This window comes from Homo sapiens, chromosome X, assembly GCF_000001405.40.
Source record: "Homo sapiens chromosome X, GRCh38.p14 Primary Assembly".
In the NCBI taxonomy this organism is placed as follows: domain Eukaryota; kingdom Metazoa; phylum Chordata; class Mammalia; order Primates; family Hominidae; genus Homo; species Homo sapiens.
This window is the reverse complement of record NC_000023.11, coordinates 36,410,970-36,431,509: the sequence shown is the minus strand read 5'-3', so window position 1 is coordinate 36,431,509 and position 20,540 is coordinate 36,410,970. Positions and strand designations below refer to the sequence as shown.

At 36.3% G+C, this 20,540-nt stretch overlaps 1 long non-coding RNA gene across 1 annotated transcript in view; it reads left to right on the top strand.

Annotated features, from left to right (window-relative positions):
• The window catches only part of LOC101928627 (uncharacterized), a 74,667-nt gene that overhangs the window by 8,783 nt on the left and 45,344 nt on the right, over window positions 1-20,540 (top strand). The window contains exons 3-5 of the long non-coding RNA NR_110412.1: window positions 40-480; window positions 2,468-2,524; window positions 17,561-17,595. This is a non-coding gene — a long non-coding RNA (uncharacterized LOC101928627). The remainder of the gene's footprint in view (window positions 1-39; window positions 481-2,467; window positions 2,525-17,560; window positions 17,596-20,540) is intronic.

The following is a 20,540-nucleotide window of genomic DNA, read 5'->3' as shown; positions in this document are numbered from 1 at the left end:
AATAAACTCATACTAACTTCTTATAACGTGTATGAACAGGATCTAGTTGTCTGAGGCTCTAGATGAGAAGAAAGATTTCATCAGTGTGAAAAGACCCCCTATCAGAGCAACATGAATGCTGCTGAAATTGAAGCAAGAACAAACATCAAATTTATGGTGAAGCTTGAACGGAAGAATGGTGAAATTATTAATGCCTTATAAAAAGTTTATGGGAACAGTACTCCAAAGAAATCATCATCAATTTACAAGTGAATAACTCATTTTAAGAAGGGACGAGAAAATATTGAAAATGATGCCCCAGCAGCCCACCATCCACATCAATTTGCAAGGAAAAAATAGTCTTGTTTGTGTTCTAACTGAAGAGGACCTATGATTAAGAGGAGAAACAATAGCCAGCACCATAAACACTTAGTTCAGCTTACACAATTCTGACTGAAAAATTAAGTTGAACAAACTTTCCACTTAGTTATTTGTTAAGAGGTACAAAACTTCAGTCATGAGATATATAAGTACTGGAGACCTAATGTACAACATGGTGATTCTACTTAATAATGTATTACTATTATTATTATTATTACTGAAAATTTGCTACTAGAGTAGAGATCAAGTGTTCTCACCACAGAAAAGGTAACAATGTTAAGTGATTGCTATGTTAATTAGCTTGATTGTGGGAATCATTTTATAATGAATACATGTATCAAAATATAACATTTTATACACTAAATATATACAATTTTTATGTCAATTATATTTTAATAAAGTTATTTTTAAAAGGATAAATTTAGCCAAGTATGGGCAACAGATATATTACAATATTGGATAGACGCAATTTTTTTTTTTTTTTTGAGACAGACTCTTGCTCTGTCACCCAGGTTGAAGTGCATTGGTGCAATCTCAGCTCACTGCAACCTCTGCCTTCCAGGTTCAAGCAATTCTCGTGCCTCAGCCACCTGAGTAGATGGGATTACAGGCCTGTGCCAGCATGTCTGGCTACTTTTTGTGTTTTTAGTAGAGACGAGGTTTTACCATGTTGACCAGGCTGGTCTCAAACTCCTGACCTCAGATGATCCACCCGCCTCAGCCTCCCAAAGTGCTGGGATTACAGTCATGAGCCACCGTGCCCGGCTTAGACTCAATACTTTTAAGATTTTCAAGCTACTCAAATACATTTATACACGTAATACAAACACAATCAAAATATCAGCAGGTTATTTTGTAACAATATACAAGTTTGTTCTAAAATCATGTGGAATTACAAAAGATATAGAATAGTCAAAAATTATGAAAAAAATCTGTAGTATCTGATTGAACTATTATACATTTTTAGTAAGCAAGACAGGGTAATATTGGCACAATATTGACAAATAGTTTAATGCAACAGTATATATAGTCCAGAAATGTATCCACACATATGTGATCAGCTGAATTTCGCAGGTTTCCAACTACTTTAGTGAGTAAAAGAGTATTTTTTCACAAATGCTCCTGGAGGAGTTGGACACTTGGAAAGAGAAACATCTTAACTCGTTACATCATTAAAAAAATAGTTATTAATAATGGATCCAATTTAAACATAACTGTTAAAACTATAGCATTTTTATAATAAAATAAAAACTGTAATTAATTTTTAAACATCTTTGCGACCTTAAGATATTTTATATAAGATAAAAACATAAACCATACAATTTAAAAATATTAAACTACATCAAATTTGAAAACCTGTCCTCTTTATTGACCAGTTAAGAAAATTAATAGACAAATTGCAGCTTGGGGGAAAATATTTGCAAAGCACACATTTGAAAAGGGACTGGTATCTCAAAAATAAATGTAAATATTTAGATCTTATATTTTAAAGTAATATACAAATGGTATTTCTAGTTCTAGTGGAATACTATGCAGCCATAAAAAATGATGAGTTCGTGTCCTTTGTAGGGACATGGATGAAATTGGAAATCATCATTCTCAGTAAACTATCACAAGAACAAAAAACCAAACACGGCATATTCTCACTCATAGGTGGGAATTGAACAATGAGATCACATGGACACAGGAAGGGGAATATCACACTCTGGGGACTGTGGTGGGGTGGGGGGAGTGGGGAGGGATAGCACTGGGGATATACCTAATGCTAGATGACGAGTTAGTGGGTGCAGCGCACCAGCATGGCACATGTATACATATGTAACTAACCTGCACAATGTGCACATGTACCATAAAACTTAAAGTATAATAAAAAAATAAATAAATAAAAATTTAAAAAAAAGTAATATACATAATAAATCTATACATTCATTTAAAAATTCAATATTGAGGGAAAAAATGAACAATCATAAATTAGCAAAAAAATTGAAGATATCTTTCAAAAAAGAATATATAAGAATGGCCAGGAAGCACATGTGAATAAAATATCATTAGCAATGAGGGAAATGCCAGTTAAAACCACTATGTAATACCTGTACATATCTCCTAGGTGACCGTGTCGATAAGGATATGGAGCAACTGGAATTCTCATCATGCTTTGCTGGAGGTAAGGGAGAATAGCAGAATGGCTTTAGATAGCATTTTGGCAAGTTTTTATAATGTTAAAAATATACTATTGCATGAGCCAATAATTTTACTCACAGGTATTTATTCAAGAGAAATGAAAGCATATGCACAGAGAAAATCTTGAATATGAATGTTCTTAGTACCCTATTCTTAATATTCGAAATCTGGAAACAATCCAGTTAAACAGAATATACTATATTCATATAATGGAAAACTACTCAACAATAAAAAAGGGATGAACTGCTGATACACACAATAATATGAGTGAATTCAAAAACATGTTAATTGAAATAAGTCAGCCACACACACACACACACACACACGCGCACACACACATGCACACATAGAGAGGCTATCTAATTTTACTTATACATGTATTTATAAAGAGCAAAATTAATCTATAATTATAGGAATTACAGCAGCTCTTCTCTCAGTCAGGAAGTCAGAAGATTGACTTCATGGAGCATAAGTAAATTTTTTGGAATAACGAAAAAGTTTTACATTTTGATTAGAGTGCTAGACAAATTGTATATAAAAATGCTCCAAAGCTCTGTAAACTGTATGCTTATAATCGGTGCATATTTTGTATGTTGTCAACGTAAAAGAAAAGAACTGAGGCAAAATTAATGTAAGTAAACAGTTTATTTGAAACAAGTTTGAGAAGTGCAACGCAGGTGCATGTATTCACGTTGTGCTACAATACACACTCTAATTAATAGCAGTTACAAGTGGGTTTTTAAAGAAAAAGATCAGTTCCTAAGTTGTTTACCAAGAATTTACATTAAAATAGCAATCTATTGATCGGACATACATTATTCTTAGTGTCATAAATTCCAGAAACATGAAGATAATGAAAGAGACAGCCTTTAAACCATTGCTCCTAACATGGGGGCAGAAGTGCGAATGAAATCCCATAGTTTTGTCTTTTTCGGCCTGATAATTTTTGCATACCTCACATAGCTCAAACTTTTCTGAGCTATTTTCATTTTTTTCATTTACCCTCTTTTGATCAATAATCTTCCCATGGAAGCATTAATGATTATCTTTGCTGAGGCTACAGTGATAGACAGCCTTCATCCCTTAGTGCTCAGAAAGCTTATTCCTGAATAGTCGTGTTCTGTGTCAGTGGGTGGGAGGGAGATGTGTCTCAGTCAAGAATTTTAAGAGCACTGAAATCTGAATTGGGATGGCTTCACAGGGGGATGGAGTGGCAAAAATAATACTTCGGTGAAGTCAATGATTTATAGAGCTACTTTTGCTTGTTGAATCATCATCTCTATTCCTCGAAATACCACAAGTTTACTTTTCTTGGAAGACATAAAACAATGAGATAAATTAAAAAAATAATTTGTATGCCAAAACAAATTTTAAAAAGATACCTGTTCCATTGGGGAGTCAACTAAAAACATAATGAAGAAAAATGAATCCATATTCTTCTTTAGATACTTGTAGCCAGGAAATAATTCGGAATTCAGTCTAAATTGTAGGAAAATAATAACAAAAATAATTTCAAGACTAGAATCTGATAACAAGCATTCTATACTTGTAGCCAGGAAATAATTCAGAATTCCATCTAAATTGTAGGAAAATAATAGCTTAAAAATAATTTCAAGACTAGAATCTGATAACAAGAATTCTATACTTTTCTTCTGAAACATATTTTCGCTCTCTAATTCTCCATTTCTACTGAAGATAAATCTCATTAAGACAAATTTATTTGAAAATAAGTTTTAGTATTATACTTGGCTTGATTATTTGCATAAGTGAAACAAGAATAGTGATTGGCGATGTAGGCTCTTTTAAGTTGGCTTTGATGAAACTTTTTCATAAGGAATCTCAATTAGACTTTCTAAATACATGTTATGGGTAGGAAGCCAAACCAAGTTTTTGCCATTAGACCGTTCTGATAATATCTGTACAAATTGGGTGAATCCCTCTCTTCTCAAGGTCCCCAAAATACCTTGGGTTTCATGGGCCTGTCAGAAAGTGACATTCTTTACTTACACAAATTTAGGAACCTTGTAAGAGAACCAAATAGACAAGGTATGAGGCCAGTTTTTTGTTTTGTTTTGTTTTTTTGTTTTTCCACATCTATTGGCTTTATCAAATCAACCTCAATTCCTCAAAGCAGTTTGGTTACATTTTAAACTATGACATTTCAGTCAAAGGCCTGATAAAATAATCAGTGTATCCAATATGTCCTATTACAAAAGAAAACAAATTTTTATTGAACATACTCAAATAACTACATTGCCAGAAAATAGCAAAATAAAAATAAAACAAAAAGTAGTTCTGAATTCTGGATAAATCAGGTATAGAGAAAGGAAAATGTTTGAATTTTTCTCACAAAAGTATACTTTACCCAATTGCCGTTAGCTACAGATAGCTCAAAGGAAAAAAGTTTTCTTGACCATAGAAAACTAAATATTTTTAAAAATCAACATTGTTTCACAATAAAGGTCATAAAAATCCTTTCAGTTTTCTATCAGTTCACTAACATGTAATTAATTATTGGTCTTCTTGATGTTGGGTTAGCAATCTTCATGGACAAATCATTTTTGTACTGAAGCTCTGAAAGATTTTACTTAGTCTAATGATACGAATTCCAAAGTTATCAGAAACCTGTATTGAATTGTACTTGTCAGGGTCATTTCTATTAATTTTCTTGAAGAAAAAGCAAATTTTGGACTCTAGCTGACTGTAAACTGTGTTCTGAGAAGAATCATAGTAAAATAAAAATTTTCTGTGGATAGCAAAAGATTTAGAGTAGCCCTGGTTAAGGACACAATTGACATGGAAATTTTCTTATTTCTGTGGCATACAACAATTTAACATAGTAATCATAATTATGACTGATAACATATACCACACATGTCAGAATTTTGGAATATCACAGAATTTTGAAACATGTATTAATAACACATTTATACAAATACAACTCAAAGAAAGTTAAATACCATTTCTTGTTTGACAATGCTTCTCATATAATTTTAACATACCAAATAAGCCTAATACATTTTTCCTGAATTTCCAGGGGTTCCTTTTGGAAAATACTTAATTTTAGAATCTGAAATTTGATTTGGAAACATCAAATATTAACTTTAGAACACTTGATATCAAAATAGGATCACAAATTACTGTAAAATAATGGTAATTCACTTAGCCAAAGTAATAATTCTTAGACTTCATTAAGCGAAGACCTTTACTTTTTGATAGAGAGGAAATTCAGTTCTCAAACAATGAAGAAACTTAGTAAAGATAGCATAAGGCAAACTCTCTCCTCTTTTTTATTTTGCAGTTTACTCAAAGGATAAAGAAAATATTGTATTATCTCTTTTTAATACTATATGAAAATCTTGTTCAAAAGAGAAAACTAAAGTTTACCTTTTCATTCATGTATTGTTAACATTAAATCTATTTTTTTCTGTCTGAAAAAATAATCCACTTAATTGAAAAACCTAGAGGAGACTACTACACTCCCCCAGATGAGGAGGCTGAAGATACCAGACCCCTACATCACCTCATAGCCACTTCTGATACACTTCACGAGGCAGCAGGCAAAGACAATTCCCAGGACATCATAAATCTTTTATAACCTCTTACAATTTTTTAAATTCTCCTTCATTTCAACTTCTCTATAGCCTTTCAATTTATTTCTCATTGTATCCTTTTTTATCCATTCAACTTAAAAAAACTTTTAAATAACTTATACATTACTTTTCCTTTAACAAAAACCACATTCTCATATCTTTCTTATAACATTCATAACCAAAAACTTATTTCCCTTTCCTTGTACATTCTGTATATAGAATCATTTCTCCTTTTTTTTTTTTTTTTTTGACAGAGTCTCGCTCTGTCACCCAGGCTGGAGTACAGTGGCAAGATCTCAGCTCACTGCAACCTCTACCTCCTGGGTTCAAGCTATGCTTCTGCCTCGGCCTCCCCAGTAGCTGGGACTACAGGCACGTGCCACCATACCCCTCTAAATTTTGCATTTTTAGTAGAGATGGGGGTTTCACCATCTTGGCCAGGCTGGTCTTGAACTCCTGACCTCATGATCTGCCCGCCTTGGCCTCTCAAAGTGCTGGGGTTACAGGTGTGAGCCACCACGCCCAACCTCATTTTCCTTCTTATGTCTAGTTTAAATTATCATATATTACTCAGAATTTTAACCCGTAGTAACCCTAGTAAGTAATTTTTTAACTATTAGTTGCATACTAACAATTTATGAATACACATTTTATAATATTTAGAAACATAGTCTTCCTAATGGAACAATTTTTAAAACGTGGAATAGAACATATTTATTTAAAGGTCTAAATATATTTGTTTCTCTGAAATAAAAAGCCAAAAATATATAAGCTTCAACTCATAATTAGTCATTAATGTCTTAGTATTACATCTTATCTGTAAATGATTTAGGTATTCAATGAACATTTATAATTTAATTTAGCTTAGCAAAATCCCTAAAGGAAAAATTACCAAAAGGATTTGAAAAACGTTTTTAAGTAAACGTGTTACCAGAAAGGGATCCCAATCCAGACCCCAAGAGAGGGTTCTTAGACCTCATGGAAGAAAGAATTTGGGGCGAGTCCATACAGTAAAGTGAAAGCAAATTTATTAAGAAAGTAAAGGAACAAAAGAATGGCTACTCCATAGGCAGAGCAGCAGCATGACCTGCTCATCTGATTGATATTATAGTTACTTCTCGATTATATACTAAACAAGGGGTGGATTATTCATAAGTTTTCCGGGAAAGGGGTGGGCAATTCCAAGAACTGAGGGTTCCTCCCATTTTTAGACCATATAAGGTAATGTCCTGACATTGCCATGGCATTTATAAACTGTCATGATGCTGGTGGGAGTGCATTCTAGCATGCTAATACATTAAAATTAGCATATAATGAGCAGTGAGGATGACCAGAGTTCACTTTTGTGACCATCTTGGTTTTGGTGGGTTTTGGCCAGCTTCTTTACTGCACACTCTTTTATCAGCAAGGTCTTTGTGACCTGTATCTTGTTCCAACCTCCTATCTCATCCTGTAACTAAGAATGCCTAACCTCCTGGGAATGCAGCCCAGTAGGTCTCAAGTTTATTTTACCCAGCCCTATTCAAGACAGAGTCACTCTGGTTCAAACCCCTCTAACAAACACGTTATGATGCAAAATTATAATTAAAATATTTATTCCATTTACATTTACTTAGTTTATTCTTAACAATTATGTTTGGAAAATTTCAGGAGACACTGGACAATTGTAGCTATCATTTCAAGTTACGTTTTCCACTATCCATTTTTATATTACTCTATGTCAGGCAAGTATCATAAAAACATAAAACTTAAATACATGCCTTTTTTTGTTGATTACTCAGAAGGCAGTTGTTTTTATCAAACTGATAATATTAAATTAGTCTTATTGGTTAGAGACATACCTAAGTCATGTGAACTAAAAGATATTTTAGTTTCTGATTTTCTGATAAAATATTTGATTTCAGTGGTTACTTTTTTAAGTCAATCAAAGCACTTTCATATATTTTAGTAGTGAAATATTACATATACATGAAACATACAGATATACATACAGACAGACACACAGGTAGAAGCAGAGGCCTAATAGCTTTATAAGATTCTTCATTTTCCAATTTTCAAATACCTTTTCTCCCACTTTTAGACTATTGATCCCTTGATTAGCGGTTCAAGTGCAGTAAACAATTGTTAGTGAGACAATCCCACATTTGCACTTTCAAAGGCATGACTCAGGTAAAAATTTATATCCCCAAAGCACAGAACTTACATATAAACACTATTATTTGCTGAAGCAAAGAAGGGCATAGGTAAAAACCCAATCAAGACAAGTTTCCTAGGATAATTATCTTGAACAAAGGTAAGGTATTTTATGTACAATTTAAGGCAATGCCTTCCCCATTATAAAATTTCTAGTAGTTTTGATGCAAAGAGGGAGATGCCCTTACTAATGAGAATTTTTTATAGATGTAAATTTCTTTTAAAAAAGTTCAAAGCAGCCATCTAAATATCAAAAAGTTGTAGGTTGGAGATGGATTCAGTTTAATAAGTGGTCTTTTCTGCTTAGCTTGTTTCTAAATTTGATTACTGACCTCAGCATTGAGCCCTTTAAAGAATAGGGCAAAGAAAGCATTTGTAGTTTTCAGGGCCTAAGATTTAAACATATGAAAAGCAGGCACAGTTCTAAGGCAGGGCATCTAGATCTGTACAAAATCAAGGATCTCACTTTTACACTGAATTCCAGGTCCCCCCAAAAAGGGAAGCACCATGAGAATAGGCCATATAATGCTTCCATAGTGCACCTTACTACAAAGACATTCCGCAAGGCTAATAGGTGACCCAACACCAATCAACCCACTCTGTGATCAACCCATCTCCTGCCAGAGTATTAGTTCTTGGTGGTGAGTGTTTCCATAGCCTCCAAGTCTTCAAACTGTGCCTTTCTTATGGAAATCTACAAAGAAACAAGTATTCCTCTGCAGTGATACCCATTCACTGTAACTGCTGTCAGCAATTTCTGAAACTGCAACTTTTGCCAGTGACTTTTTAGCCACTGCACACACAAAAGTCAAATTCTCTCTCACAGTATAATGTAGTCCCTGGCACCCTGAAAGCAAAAGACATCAGGTAACTCTATGCAAAAGAGAGCAAAGCTTTTGACTGGAGAAAAAACCTGCCTATGACTGAACTCTGCAAGGAAAACAGAAGACCCCCAAAAGGGAGTAAGTGGCATTTTTTTCTGTACTCCACATAAAGTCTGAGTCACTTGAAGTCTCCTTTGCATTTCTTCATGTGTTATCAAACATGGCAAAGGAATGGAAAAGCATAAGTGGAAAAAAAAGAATACATAGAGAAGCCAATTTGAGGAGATTTTATGCTTTCTGAAAGGCCAAGGAAGTTTTACATTTTTCTCAGCAGTTATACCAACAAGACAGTAAGCAAACAGAGGTATGAAACATTTTTTTAAAAGCTTACTTGACTGAAAAAATTTCACAGAAATATGATCCAAGAGAAAAAAGCAGAACAGCTTTTTATTTTCCCAAAAAATTTGTAGCCTGAATATCCGAATTTTTTTTCTTTTTTTAGAGACAGTGTCTCACTCTGTTGCTCAGGCTGGAGTGCAGCGATGTAATTAAAAATCATTGCAGCCCCGATCTCCCAGGTTAAAGTGATCCTCCTGCTTTGACCTCCCAAGTAACTGGGACCACATGTGCTTGCCAGCATGCCTGATTAGTTTCTGTTGTTGTTGTTTTTTTTAATCTTTTTATGGAGACAGGGTCTCACTATGTTGTCTAGGCTGAGGTCAAACTCCTGGGCTCAGGTGAACCTCCCACCTTGACCTCCACAGTGTTGGGATTACAGGTGTGAGCCGGTGTGCCTGGCCTTGAATATAAGCTTTTAATTAAGCTAATTTATGACAATAGAGTTCTTAAGCAATTATTTTCAAATCTCTTATTTCATCCAGAACAAACATGAAGTAGTTCTCCCATTCAATTTTCTTGTTCTAAAGGTAGCTTTTTCCAGTTATGTGCATTAATACATTATTTAAGCAAGCCAAGGGCCCCCATTTTGGCCATTTCCGCATATGACCATACCAGGTTAGGTGAGTCCTCTTTCCTAGATATTTAAAAGAGAATACCCAATAATTGTTGTACATAAAACCAACTGGTATTTAATTAGTTGATGACAAATAAAAAGCCAAGCCTAAATTTTAAGCAGTAGAAAGCAAGCAGCTGCAATTTTTAAAGCATGCTATTTAAAACAAGACCCCTGTTGCCAAACTGCCAATCTCTTCATCCAAACCTTATGTTGTGAGACAGGTGGAAAAGCAAAATTTCTATGGAGAGCTCTTTGCCTGACCTTGACCCCAACCTCCAGTCCTGAGGCAAAAGCAGAGAAACTTTGACATGAACCAACTGCTGTGAGACAGAGGCAGAGAAAACGCAGTTTTTGTTTTGTTTTTTACTGTAATCCAAATCTGCCCACAGGGAAAACATTAAAAAATCTCTATTCTAGAAAGGAATGGTTTGTAAAAACAGCCCAAATAAAGTGTAGACCTTCCATCAAAGAGTGGGATAAAGTCCATATTTCAGTAAAACTTACCCACAACAACTAATGGGACTCTAGAAGAGAGAGAAGGCAATGGCTTCATGCTGCCATCAAGCACCCCTTTCAGACAGAAACACTGGATGATCTGGGAGAGTCACTTTGAAACATGTCGACTGTACCAGATACATCAACCCAAAGGGAAAAAACTGAGGCAAAAATTAATATGAATAGAGAGTTTATTTCGACCAAGTTTGAGAACTGCAAACTGGAAGCACAGATTCAAGTTGCCCTGAATATGTGCCCTGATTGGCAGTACTTACAAGTGGGCTTTTAAGGGAAAAGGCAGTTCCTAAGTTGTTTACCAAGAATTTACATTAAAATAGCATGAGCTATTGATTGGTTCTACGATGTTCTTTCTATCACCAATTCCAGGAACAGGTAGATAATGGGTGAGTCAGGAACAAAATACCTTTAAACAATTTCCCCCATCCCAGTCACGAGTGCAGCAGGCATGACTGAAGTCCCATAATCATGTCTTTTTGGGCCTGATAAATTTTGCATACCTCATATAGCTCAGACTTCTCTAAGTCATTTTTCTTTTTTCAATGTGAATTATACTTTAATAAAGCTTATTTTGTAAAATAAAATAATTGGACAGGTGAATAACCTTTCTGGTACAGTAACATTCATCTTATTGTCATTTTCAAAAGCAAAAAAGTGAAAAAATTAGAGACATATTAGTTTGCCATGGCTGCTGTAACAAAGTACCACAGAGTGACCTAAACAACAGAAATTTATTGTCACAAATTTCTAGAGACCAGAAATCTAAGATCAGTGTCAGCAGGGCCACATTCCCTCTGAAGGTGCTACAGAAGTATTTCTCTCAGGCCTCTCTCCAAGCTTCTGGTAGTCCCTTGGCTTGTGACAGCATAACTCTAATCTTCTTATGTTCTCTCAGTGTGAATGCATGTCTGTCTCTTCACATGACATTCTTTTCACGAAGAATCCAGTCATATTGGGTTAGGGGCCCACTCTACCCTAGTATGACTTCATCTTAACTAGTTACATCCCCAAAGCCCTATTTCGAAATAAAGTCACAATTTGAGGTACTGGGATTAGGATTTCAACATATAATTTTTTGGTGGGGGTGATACAATTCATCTTATATTTAAAATTATGGTGTTTTTATAAATCAGAATGGTAATCAGCTTTAGAAATCATATTTCCAATTGTAGTTAAGGATGTTGTAAACTACTATGTTATATTAAGTATAATCAGATTAATGTGTACATATATAGATATTATATGTAAATATAGATACATAAATATATATGTGTATTGTATGATGTATTTACAGAATTTTTGTAAGCGCAATTTTGTACATAAAATAGGCACCACAATATTAATATTTCTTATCTGGTAGTGGTATAATTATAAATTCTTTGAATGTGAAGTGAAGTATATGTATGTATTTTCATCATTCATTCAACTTCACATGAAGTAACAATAGCAAATTACTTTAGATGACAGTTGGAAGATGTTCTATTATGTAGAAATAGTCTGTAACTCTTCTATCATGTAGAAATAGTCTGATTAATAGGCCTATTGTATTATTATTAGAAGGAAGTTTCTCTAAATGTCTCTAGGAGTTAGGAGTATAATAGAAACATTTGATTTCAAACAGAGAACATCAACTGATGAGAATTTGCATGATTTTTTCACTGAGTCTAAAAATTCAGATTCTATAAATGAGTCATTAAATTCTCTTAAAAATCAATTTAGCCTAGCTGTCTTTTATTCATAATATTATTTTCCACACAGACCAAAATGTAGCCAAGTTTGACAGGAAAGTAGTAACAAAGACAGAAAACTTTAAAAAAAAAAAATAGAGCTCTGTTCCAAGATGGCCGAATAGGAACAGCCCCAGTATGCAGCTCCCAGTGTGATCGACACAGAAGATGGGTGATGTCTGCATTTCCAACTGAGGTACCTGGTTCATCTCACTGGGACTAGCTGGACAGTGGGTGCAGCCCACGGAGGGTGAGCTGAAGCAGGGTGGGGCATGCCTCACTTGGGAAGTGCAAGGGGTCAGGGGATTTCCTTCCTAAACAAGGGAAGCTGTGATAGACTGTACCTGGAAAAACGGCACACTCCTGCCCAAATACTGCGCTTTTCTCAAGGTCTTAGCAACTGGTAGACAAGGAGATTCTCTCCCGTGCCTGGCTCGGTGGGTCCTATGCCCACAGAGCCTTGCTCACTGCTAGTGCAGCAGTCTGAGATCAAACTGTGAGGCAGCAGCCTGGCTGGGGGAGGGGCACCCGCCATTGCTGAGGCCTCAGTAGGTAAACAAAGTGGCCGGAAAGCTCGAACTGGGCAGAGCTCACCACAGCTCAGCAAGGCCTACTGCCTCTAGACTCCACCTTTGTGGGCAGGGCATAGCTGAACAAAAGGCAGCAGACAACTCCTGCAGACTTAAACGTCCCTGTCTGACAGCTCTGAAGAGAGCAGTGGTTCTCCCAGCATGGCATTTGAGCTCTAAGAACAGACAGCCTACCTCCTCAAGTGGGTTCCTGACCCCCGTGTAGCCTAACTGGGAGACACCTCCCAGTAGGGGCCAACATACACTTCATATAGGTGGGTGCCCCTCTGGGACGAAGCTTCCAGAGGAAGGATCAGGCAGCAGTATTTGCTGTTCTGCAGCCTCCACTGGTGATATCCAGGCAAACAGAGTCTGGAGGGGACCTCCAGCAAACTCCAACAGACCTGTAGCTGAGGGACCTGACTGTTAGAAGGAAAACTAACAAACAGAAAGAAACAGCATCAACATCAATAAAAAGGACATCTACACCAAAACCCCATCTGTAGGTCACTGACATCAAAGACCAAAGGTAGATAAAACCACAAAGATGGGGAGAAGCCAGAGCAGAAAAGCTGAAAATTCTAAAAATCAGAGTGCCTCTTCTCCTCCAAAGGATCGTAGCTCCTTGCCAGCAATGGAACAAAGCTGGATGGAGAATGACTTTGACAAGTTGACAGAAGTAGGCTTCAGAAGGTCGGTAACAACAAACTTCTCCAAGCTAAAGAAGAATGTTTGAACCCATCACAAGGAAGCTAAAAACCTTGAAAAAAGGTTAGACGAATGGCTAACTAGAATAAACAGTGTAGAGAAGACCTTAAATGACCTGATGGAAATGAAAACCATGGCACGAGAACTTCGTAACGCATGCACAAGCTTCAATAGCTGATTCGATCAAGTGGAAGAAAGGGTATCAGTTACTGAAGATCAAATTAATGAAATAAAGTGAGAAAACAAGCTTAGAGAAAAAAGAGTAAAAAGAAACGAACAAAGCCTCCAAGAAATATGGGATTATGTGAAAAGACCAAATCTATGTTTGATTGGTGTACCTGAAAGTGACAAGGAGAATGGAACCAAGTTGGAAAACACTCTTCAGGATATTATCCAGGAGAACTTCCCCAACGCAAATCAATAAACATAATCCATCACATAAACAGAACCAATGACAAAAACCACATGATTATCTGAATAGATGACGAAAAGGCCTTCGACAAAATTCAACAGCCCTTCATGCTAAAAACTCTCAATTAACTAGGAATTGATGGAACGTATCTCAAAATAATAAGAGCTACTTATTAAAAACCCACAGCCAATATCATACTGAATGGGCAAAAACTGGAAGCATCCCCTTTGAAAACTGGCACAAGACAAGGATGCCCTCTCTCACCACTCCTATTCAACATAGTGTTGGAAGTTCTGGCCAGGGCAATCAGGCAAGAGAAAGAAATAAAGGGTATTCAATCAGTAAAAGAGGAAGTCAAATTGTCCCTGTTTGCAGATGACATGATTGTATATCTAGAAAACCCCATTGTCTCAGCCCAAAATCTCCTTAAGCTGATAAGCAACTTCAGCAAAGTCTCAGGGTACAAAATCAATGTGCAAAAATCACAGGCATTCTTATACAACAATAATAGACAAACAGAGAGCCAAATCATGAGTGAACTCCCATTCACAATTGCTACAAAGAGAATAAAATACCTAGGAATCCAACTTACAAGGGATGTGAAGAACCTCTTCAAGGAGAACTACAAACCACTGCTCAATAAAATAAAAGAGGACACAACAAATGGAAGAACTTTCCATGCTCATGGATAGGAAGAATCAATATCGTGAAAATGGCCATACTGTCCAAGGTAATGTATAGATTCAATGCCATCCCCATCAAGCTACCAATGACTTTCTTCACGGAATTGGAAAAAACCACTTTAAGTTCATATGGAACCAAAAAAGAGCCTGCATTGCCAAGACAATCCTAAGCCAAAAGAACAAAGCTGGAGGCATCATGCTACCTGACTTCAAACTATACTACAAGGCTATAGTAACCAAAACAGCATGTACTGGTACCAAAATAGAGATATAGACCAATGGAACAGAACAGAGAGCTCAGAAATAACACCGCACATCTACAACCATCTGATCTTTGACAAACCTGACAAAAACAAGAAATGGGGAAAGGATTTCCTATTTAATAAATGGTGCTGGGAAAACTGGCTAGCCATATGTAGAAAGCTGAAACTGGATCCCTTCCTTACACTTATATAGAAATTAATTCAAGATGGATTAAAGACTTAAATGTTAGACCTAAAACCATAAAAACCCTAGAAGAAAACCTAGGCAATACCATTCAGGCCATAGGCATGTGTAAGGACTTCATGACTAAAACACCAAAAGCAATGGCAACAAAAGCCAAAATAGGCAAATGGGATCTAATTAAACTAAAGAGCTTCTGCACAGCAAAAGAAACTACGATCAGAGTGAAGAGGCAACCTACAGAATGGGAGAAAATTTTTGCAATCTACCCATCTGACAAAGGGCTAATATCCAGAATCTACAAAGAACTCAAACAAATTTATAAGAAAAAAAGAACAACCCCATCAAAAAGTGGGCAATGGATATGAACAGACACTTCTCAGAAGAAGACATCTATGCAGCCAACAAGCACATGAAAAAATGCTCATCATCACTGGTCGTCAGAGAAATGCAAATCAAAACCACAATGAGATACCATCTCACGCCAGTTAGAATGGGAATCATTAAAAGTCAGGAAACAACAGATGCTGGAGAGGATGTGGAGAAATAGGAACACTTTTACACTGTTGATGGGAGGGCAAATTAGTTCAACCATTGTGGAAGACGGTGTGGCAATTCCTCAAGTATCTAGAACTAGAAATACCATTTGACCCAGCCATCCCATTACTGGGTATACACCCAAACGATTGTAAATCACGCTACTATAAAGACACATGCACATGTATGTTTATTGCGGCACTATTCACAAGAGCAGAGACTTGGAACCAACCCAAATGTCCATCAATGATAGACTGGATTAAGAAAATGTGGCACATATACACAATGGAATAAAGGATGAGTTCGTGTCATTTCCAGGGACATAGATGAAGCTGGAAACCATCATTCTCAGCAAACTACCACAAGGTCAGAAAACCAAACACTGCATGTTCTCACTCATAGGTGGGAACTGAACAATGAGATCACTTGGACACAGGGCGGGGAACATCACACACTGGGGGGTGGGGAGCTGGGGGAGGGACAGCATTAGGAGAAGAACCTAATGTAAATGACGAGTTGATGTGTGCAGCAAACCAACATGGCACATATATACCTATGTAGCAAACCTGTACCTTGTGCACATGTACCCTAGAACTTAAGGTATAATTTTTTAAAAACCACTTTCTGAGCATAACAATAGCAATTATTTGATCCTAAATTTATTTTAGATATTTCACATTTACACTTTGAGGCATGGTACGGAACTAAGACAAGGAAAATTCTGAGATACACGTATACGTAATACAAAAAACACCCTCTTTTCTTTTAACATTTAAAGACCTGTAAGTGTACTTTTAGTAGACAATGGGCTTGTAAGCTACCTCCATTACCACAACAAAACTGAGAAGAGAAAAGATTAAGAGAGATAATGATTCCTGAAATTTTAATATTCATTTTTGTACTTTTTGGATTGGTAGAAGACAGATATCATGGACACTATGTTCACCAAATAGTGAACATACACTGTCATCCTCTACACAGACACCACTATTAAATATACCATGAATAACAAAAACTTCATAATTGTTAATAATTTTATTTCACTTAAAATTATATCCACACTTGCTCTGGAAAAAATATGTAGGGATACTTTTCCTTTTCATCTCCGACCCGACCAGTTAGTACCCCTTACTCATTGGCCCTCCTCACCCACCGCATTATCCTGAAAAACTCTGATGTGTGAATGCTAGGGGAGACTGATTTCAGTAATAATTAAACACTAGTCTCCCTCACAGCCAGCTCTGCATGAATTACTCTTTCTCTATGGCGATTCCCCTGTCTTGATAAATCAGCTCTGTCTAGGCAGCAGGCAAGGTGAACCCCTTGGACAGTTACAATATAGAAAGGAAATGTAGGTTTGAAGCCCCCACAGTTCCACTATGCAGAGTCTGGGGCACTGCATAGTGGAACTATGTGAAGAGGATTGTCATCCTCCAGACCCAAGAATAGTAGATCGACGGACAACTTGCACTCTTAACCTGGAAAAGCCACAGGCATGCAATGCCATCCTGTAAGAGCAGCCATGGAAGAAGAACACTGCAAAGCCACAGGAATGCAGCTACCCAAGGCCTTGGGAGCCCACCCTTCACACCAGTGTACCCTGGATGTGGGACATGAAGTCAAAGAAGATTGTTTTGGTGCTTTAAGATTTAATGACTGCTCTGAGGGTCTTAAACTTGCACAGGGCCTGTAGTTCCTTTTTTGGCTGATTTCTTCCTTTTTGAAATGGGAATGTTTATCCAATGCCTATAGCTCCACTCTATCTTGGAAGTAACTAACTTGTTTTTTTTTTTAATTTTAGAGGCTCATAGGTGGAAAGGACTTGCCTCATCTCAGGTGAGACTTTGGATTTTGTACTATTGAATTAACACTGGAATGAGTAAAGACTTTGGGGCACTATTGGTAAGGCAGGATAGTACTTTGAAATGTGAGAAGAGCATGAGATTTGGGAGGGTCCAGGGCCTAATGATATAGTTTAGATGTGTGTCACTGCCCAAATCTCCTGTTGAATTGTAATCCTCAACATTAGTGGAGGGGCCTAGTTGGGAGGTGATTGGATCATCAGGGCACATTTCCCATGAATGGTTTAGCACCATCCTGTTTGTGCTGTCCTGACGATAGTGAGTGAGATATCATAAGATCTGATCATTTAAAAGTGTGGTACCTACCTCCTCTCTCTGTCTTGCTCCTGCTGTGCTCATGTAATGTACCTGCTCCCCTTTCCCCTTCTGACATAATTGGAAGTTTCCTGAGGCCTCTCAGATACTGAGAAGATACCAGCATCATGCTTCTTGTACAGCCTGCAAAGCCATAAGCCAGTTAAACCCCTTTTGTTTGCAAATTATCCAGTCTCAGGTATTTCTTTATAGCAATGCAAGAATGGACAACTACATCAGGGTTGAACTTCTTCCTGGAACTTTTCTGAAACAAAAACTCAAGGTGCAAAAGTTACCAGTGGGTAATTTTTCACTGTGTACCCCCAAACCTAGAGACAGGTTACAATTTCATCACCTTTTAAATTAAAGTAGGAGATGAAGGGGTAATGTAGAGTAAGAGAAGATATGCATGCATGAAACTTTTTACAGTAAAATGCATTATAAATATTCTGTGCTTAGTTACATATGTAAAATGTATCATAGATCTCAATTGCTTTGTGTAAGTAAGTACCCACCAGCAGAAACTTTGATATGTTAAAGTGTATATAAGAAAGAAAATGTTCCCCAAATCTCTTAATACTATTTATTATTTTGTATCTCTTGTAAATAACAGTACCTTGTGAGGACAGCATTTTTCTAGTGAAAATGTTATAATGGGGAAACCAAGGGGTAAGACTACCCTTCCTTTTCTTTAATGTTGTTTTAGAGCAGAGATTTCATAAAACCTTCTTAATATGTACAAACAAAAGTGATTTACTATTACCGTCAAATGGCAAAGACGGCTAGAAAGCCTAGGTTCAGGCCATTGGCACACTGTGTCTTAATTTCCTCCACTAATACCTAGCCATAAGTGGAAAGCGGAGTTTATATTTGTATGCCATGCATTTATAGAATGGAAAAGAGTAGTATTTTCCATCTTGTGTAGGTTCTCTGGCTAAAAGCACAAAATATCAAAGAGTAATACACAAAGCTATATGATTAAAGGACATTAGTAGCTTGCAGGAATTTTTCATCAGTGCACTACTGATGAGTTTTACAAGAGCCCTATGGAGAACATTTCATCAAAGCTGACATCTTGGAGAGCGTAACTTCAAACAGATGAGAGTAACGCTGGGCTCATATGTTGGTTACTAAGTTTTCTGACATTAACTATAACATTAAACACATTAGGTGAGCAGCTTAAAGCTGTACAGAGCCTGACAAAACAAACAGAAAACTACTTTAGCAAGTTCCTGGCAACACTGTTAACTATGAATTGAGATTTCAATAGGGTTCTCGGGCCAGAACTCTATTATATTTTCTGGTGTGCAAGCTCGGGCAATGGGTGTTACATTATCACTACTGACAAGAATGAGACACCCTCATTGCTCATGGCCTCATTTCACTGTGACACAAGGTTTGTAGGCATAAGAGGTACACTTCCCAGAAACAGGGAAGACCAGTAGAGTTCATAGTCCAGTTCAGGTCTTAACACAGAAACTCATCCTGAAAAAAACAGCACATAAAACTACAGTTTTTATGGACAGGCCATTGCTTATATTTATTTCGGCAAAATTCTGAATACATGGGAGGAAATTTTGAATGTTTATAATGTTATTTTTAGACTTTTATCATTAAGAAGAATAAGATGTTTAGCTAAATGAGTTGATCCATCAGAATAACTTTCAACTTATTAAAGCTTTGTTTTTGTTTTTTTTTCTTTACTGAACTTGTCTTCTGTGTTCATTTCATGTTATGCTGCTTTAACATTTTTGGAAACATTTTCTTTAGGAATTAGCATATTATTTTAACATACTTTTATAGAGTCAGAGACGAAAATGAACTGAAGGAGATGGAAATATATGAGACAAATAGGAGCACAAAGGAGGGAGGCTAACCCTTTTGTGGAAAGACAATAAAACTTTTCATAGAGAATCTGAAGTTTGAGCTGATTTTAGAAGTCCTAGGTCATTAGAAAGACAAGAATAAAGGACATTTCTGGCATATGAAATGGCACTTTTGAAATCATTGCAGTGTATAAAGATATTTAAACACACTAAAAGTATTGTGGTACTTGTAGAGAAAAAGATATTGCAAGACCAATGGGTTAGTTAAAGCAATATAATTTGGGCCAAATTACAATATATCTTGAGTACAAAATAAAGGCATTTATCTTTATTAATCATCATATTTATAAACAAAAATTATCTATTGCATTAGGCTGAGTAATGAAAAAAACCTGAATGTATACGAAAGAGAAGAACAACATATACTGAGCAACTATCATGTGCCAATCTTAACTTATGTAACAGAATATGTCATGAATTAAATCCCTATTCAGACTCCTACAGGTCAATCTCCATGCAAAAGCTTGAGGAGAAACAACATGGCATCAGGAAGCCATAATTATAGGCGACTGTTGCTGAAATCTGAGTTGTTTAAGAATATTGGCTCCATAGTAGAGCCAACATAAGGTGAATATACCAGGGTTTATGCCCCTAAAATGTTTTGCATTGGATAAGTCCACCTCTCTAGAAAGATTTCCACTAAAAAACATGAATCATTGTACCAGGTGATATCTGGTGTTGTTTCCTGGAAAAAAATGTGAAGAACATTCTAAAATTCATAAGGACTCTCAAGGGATCC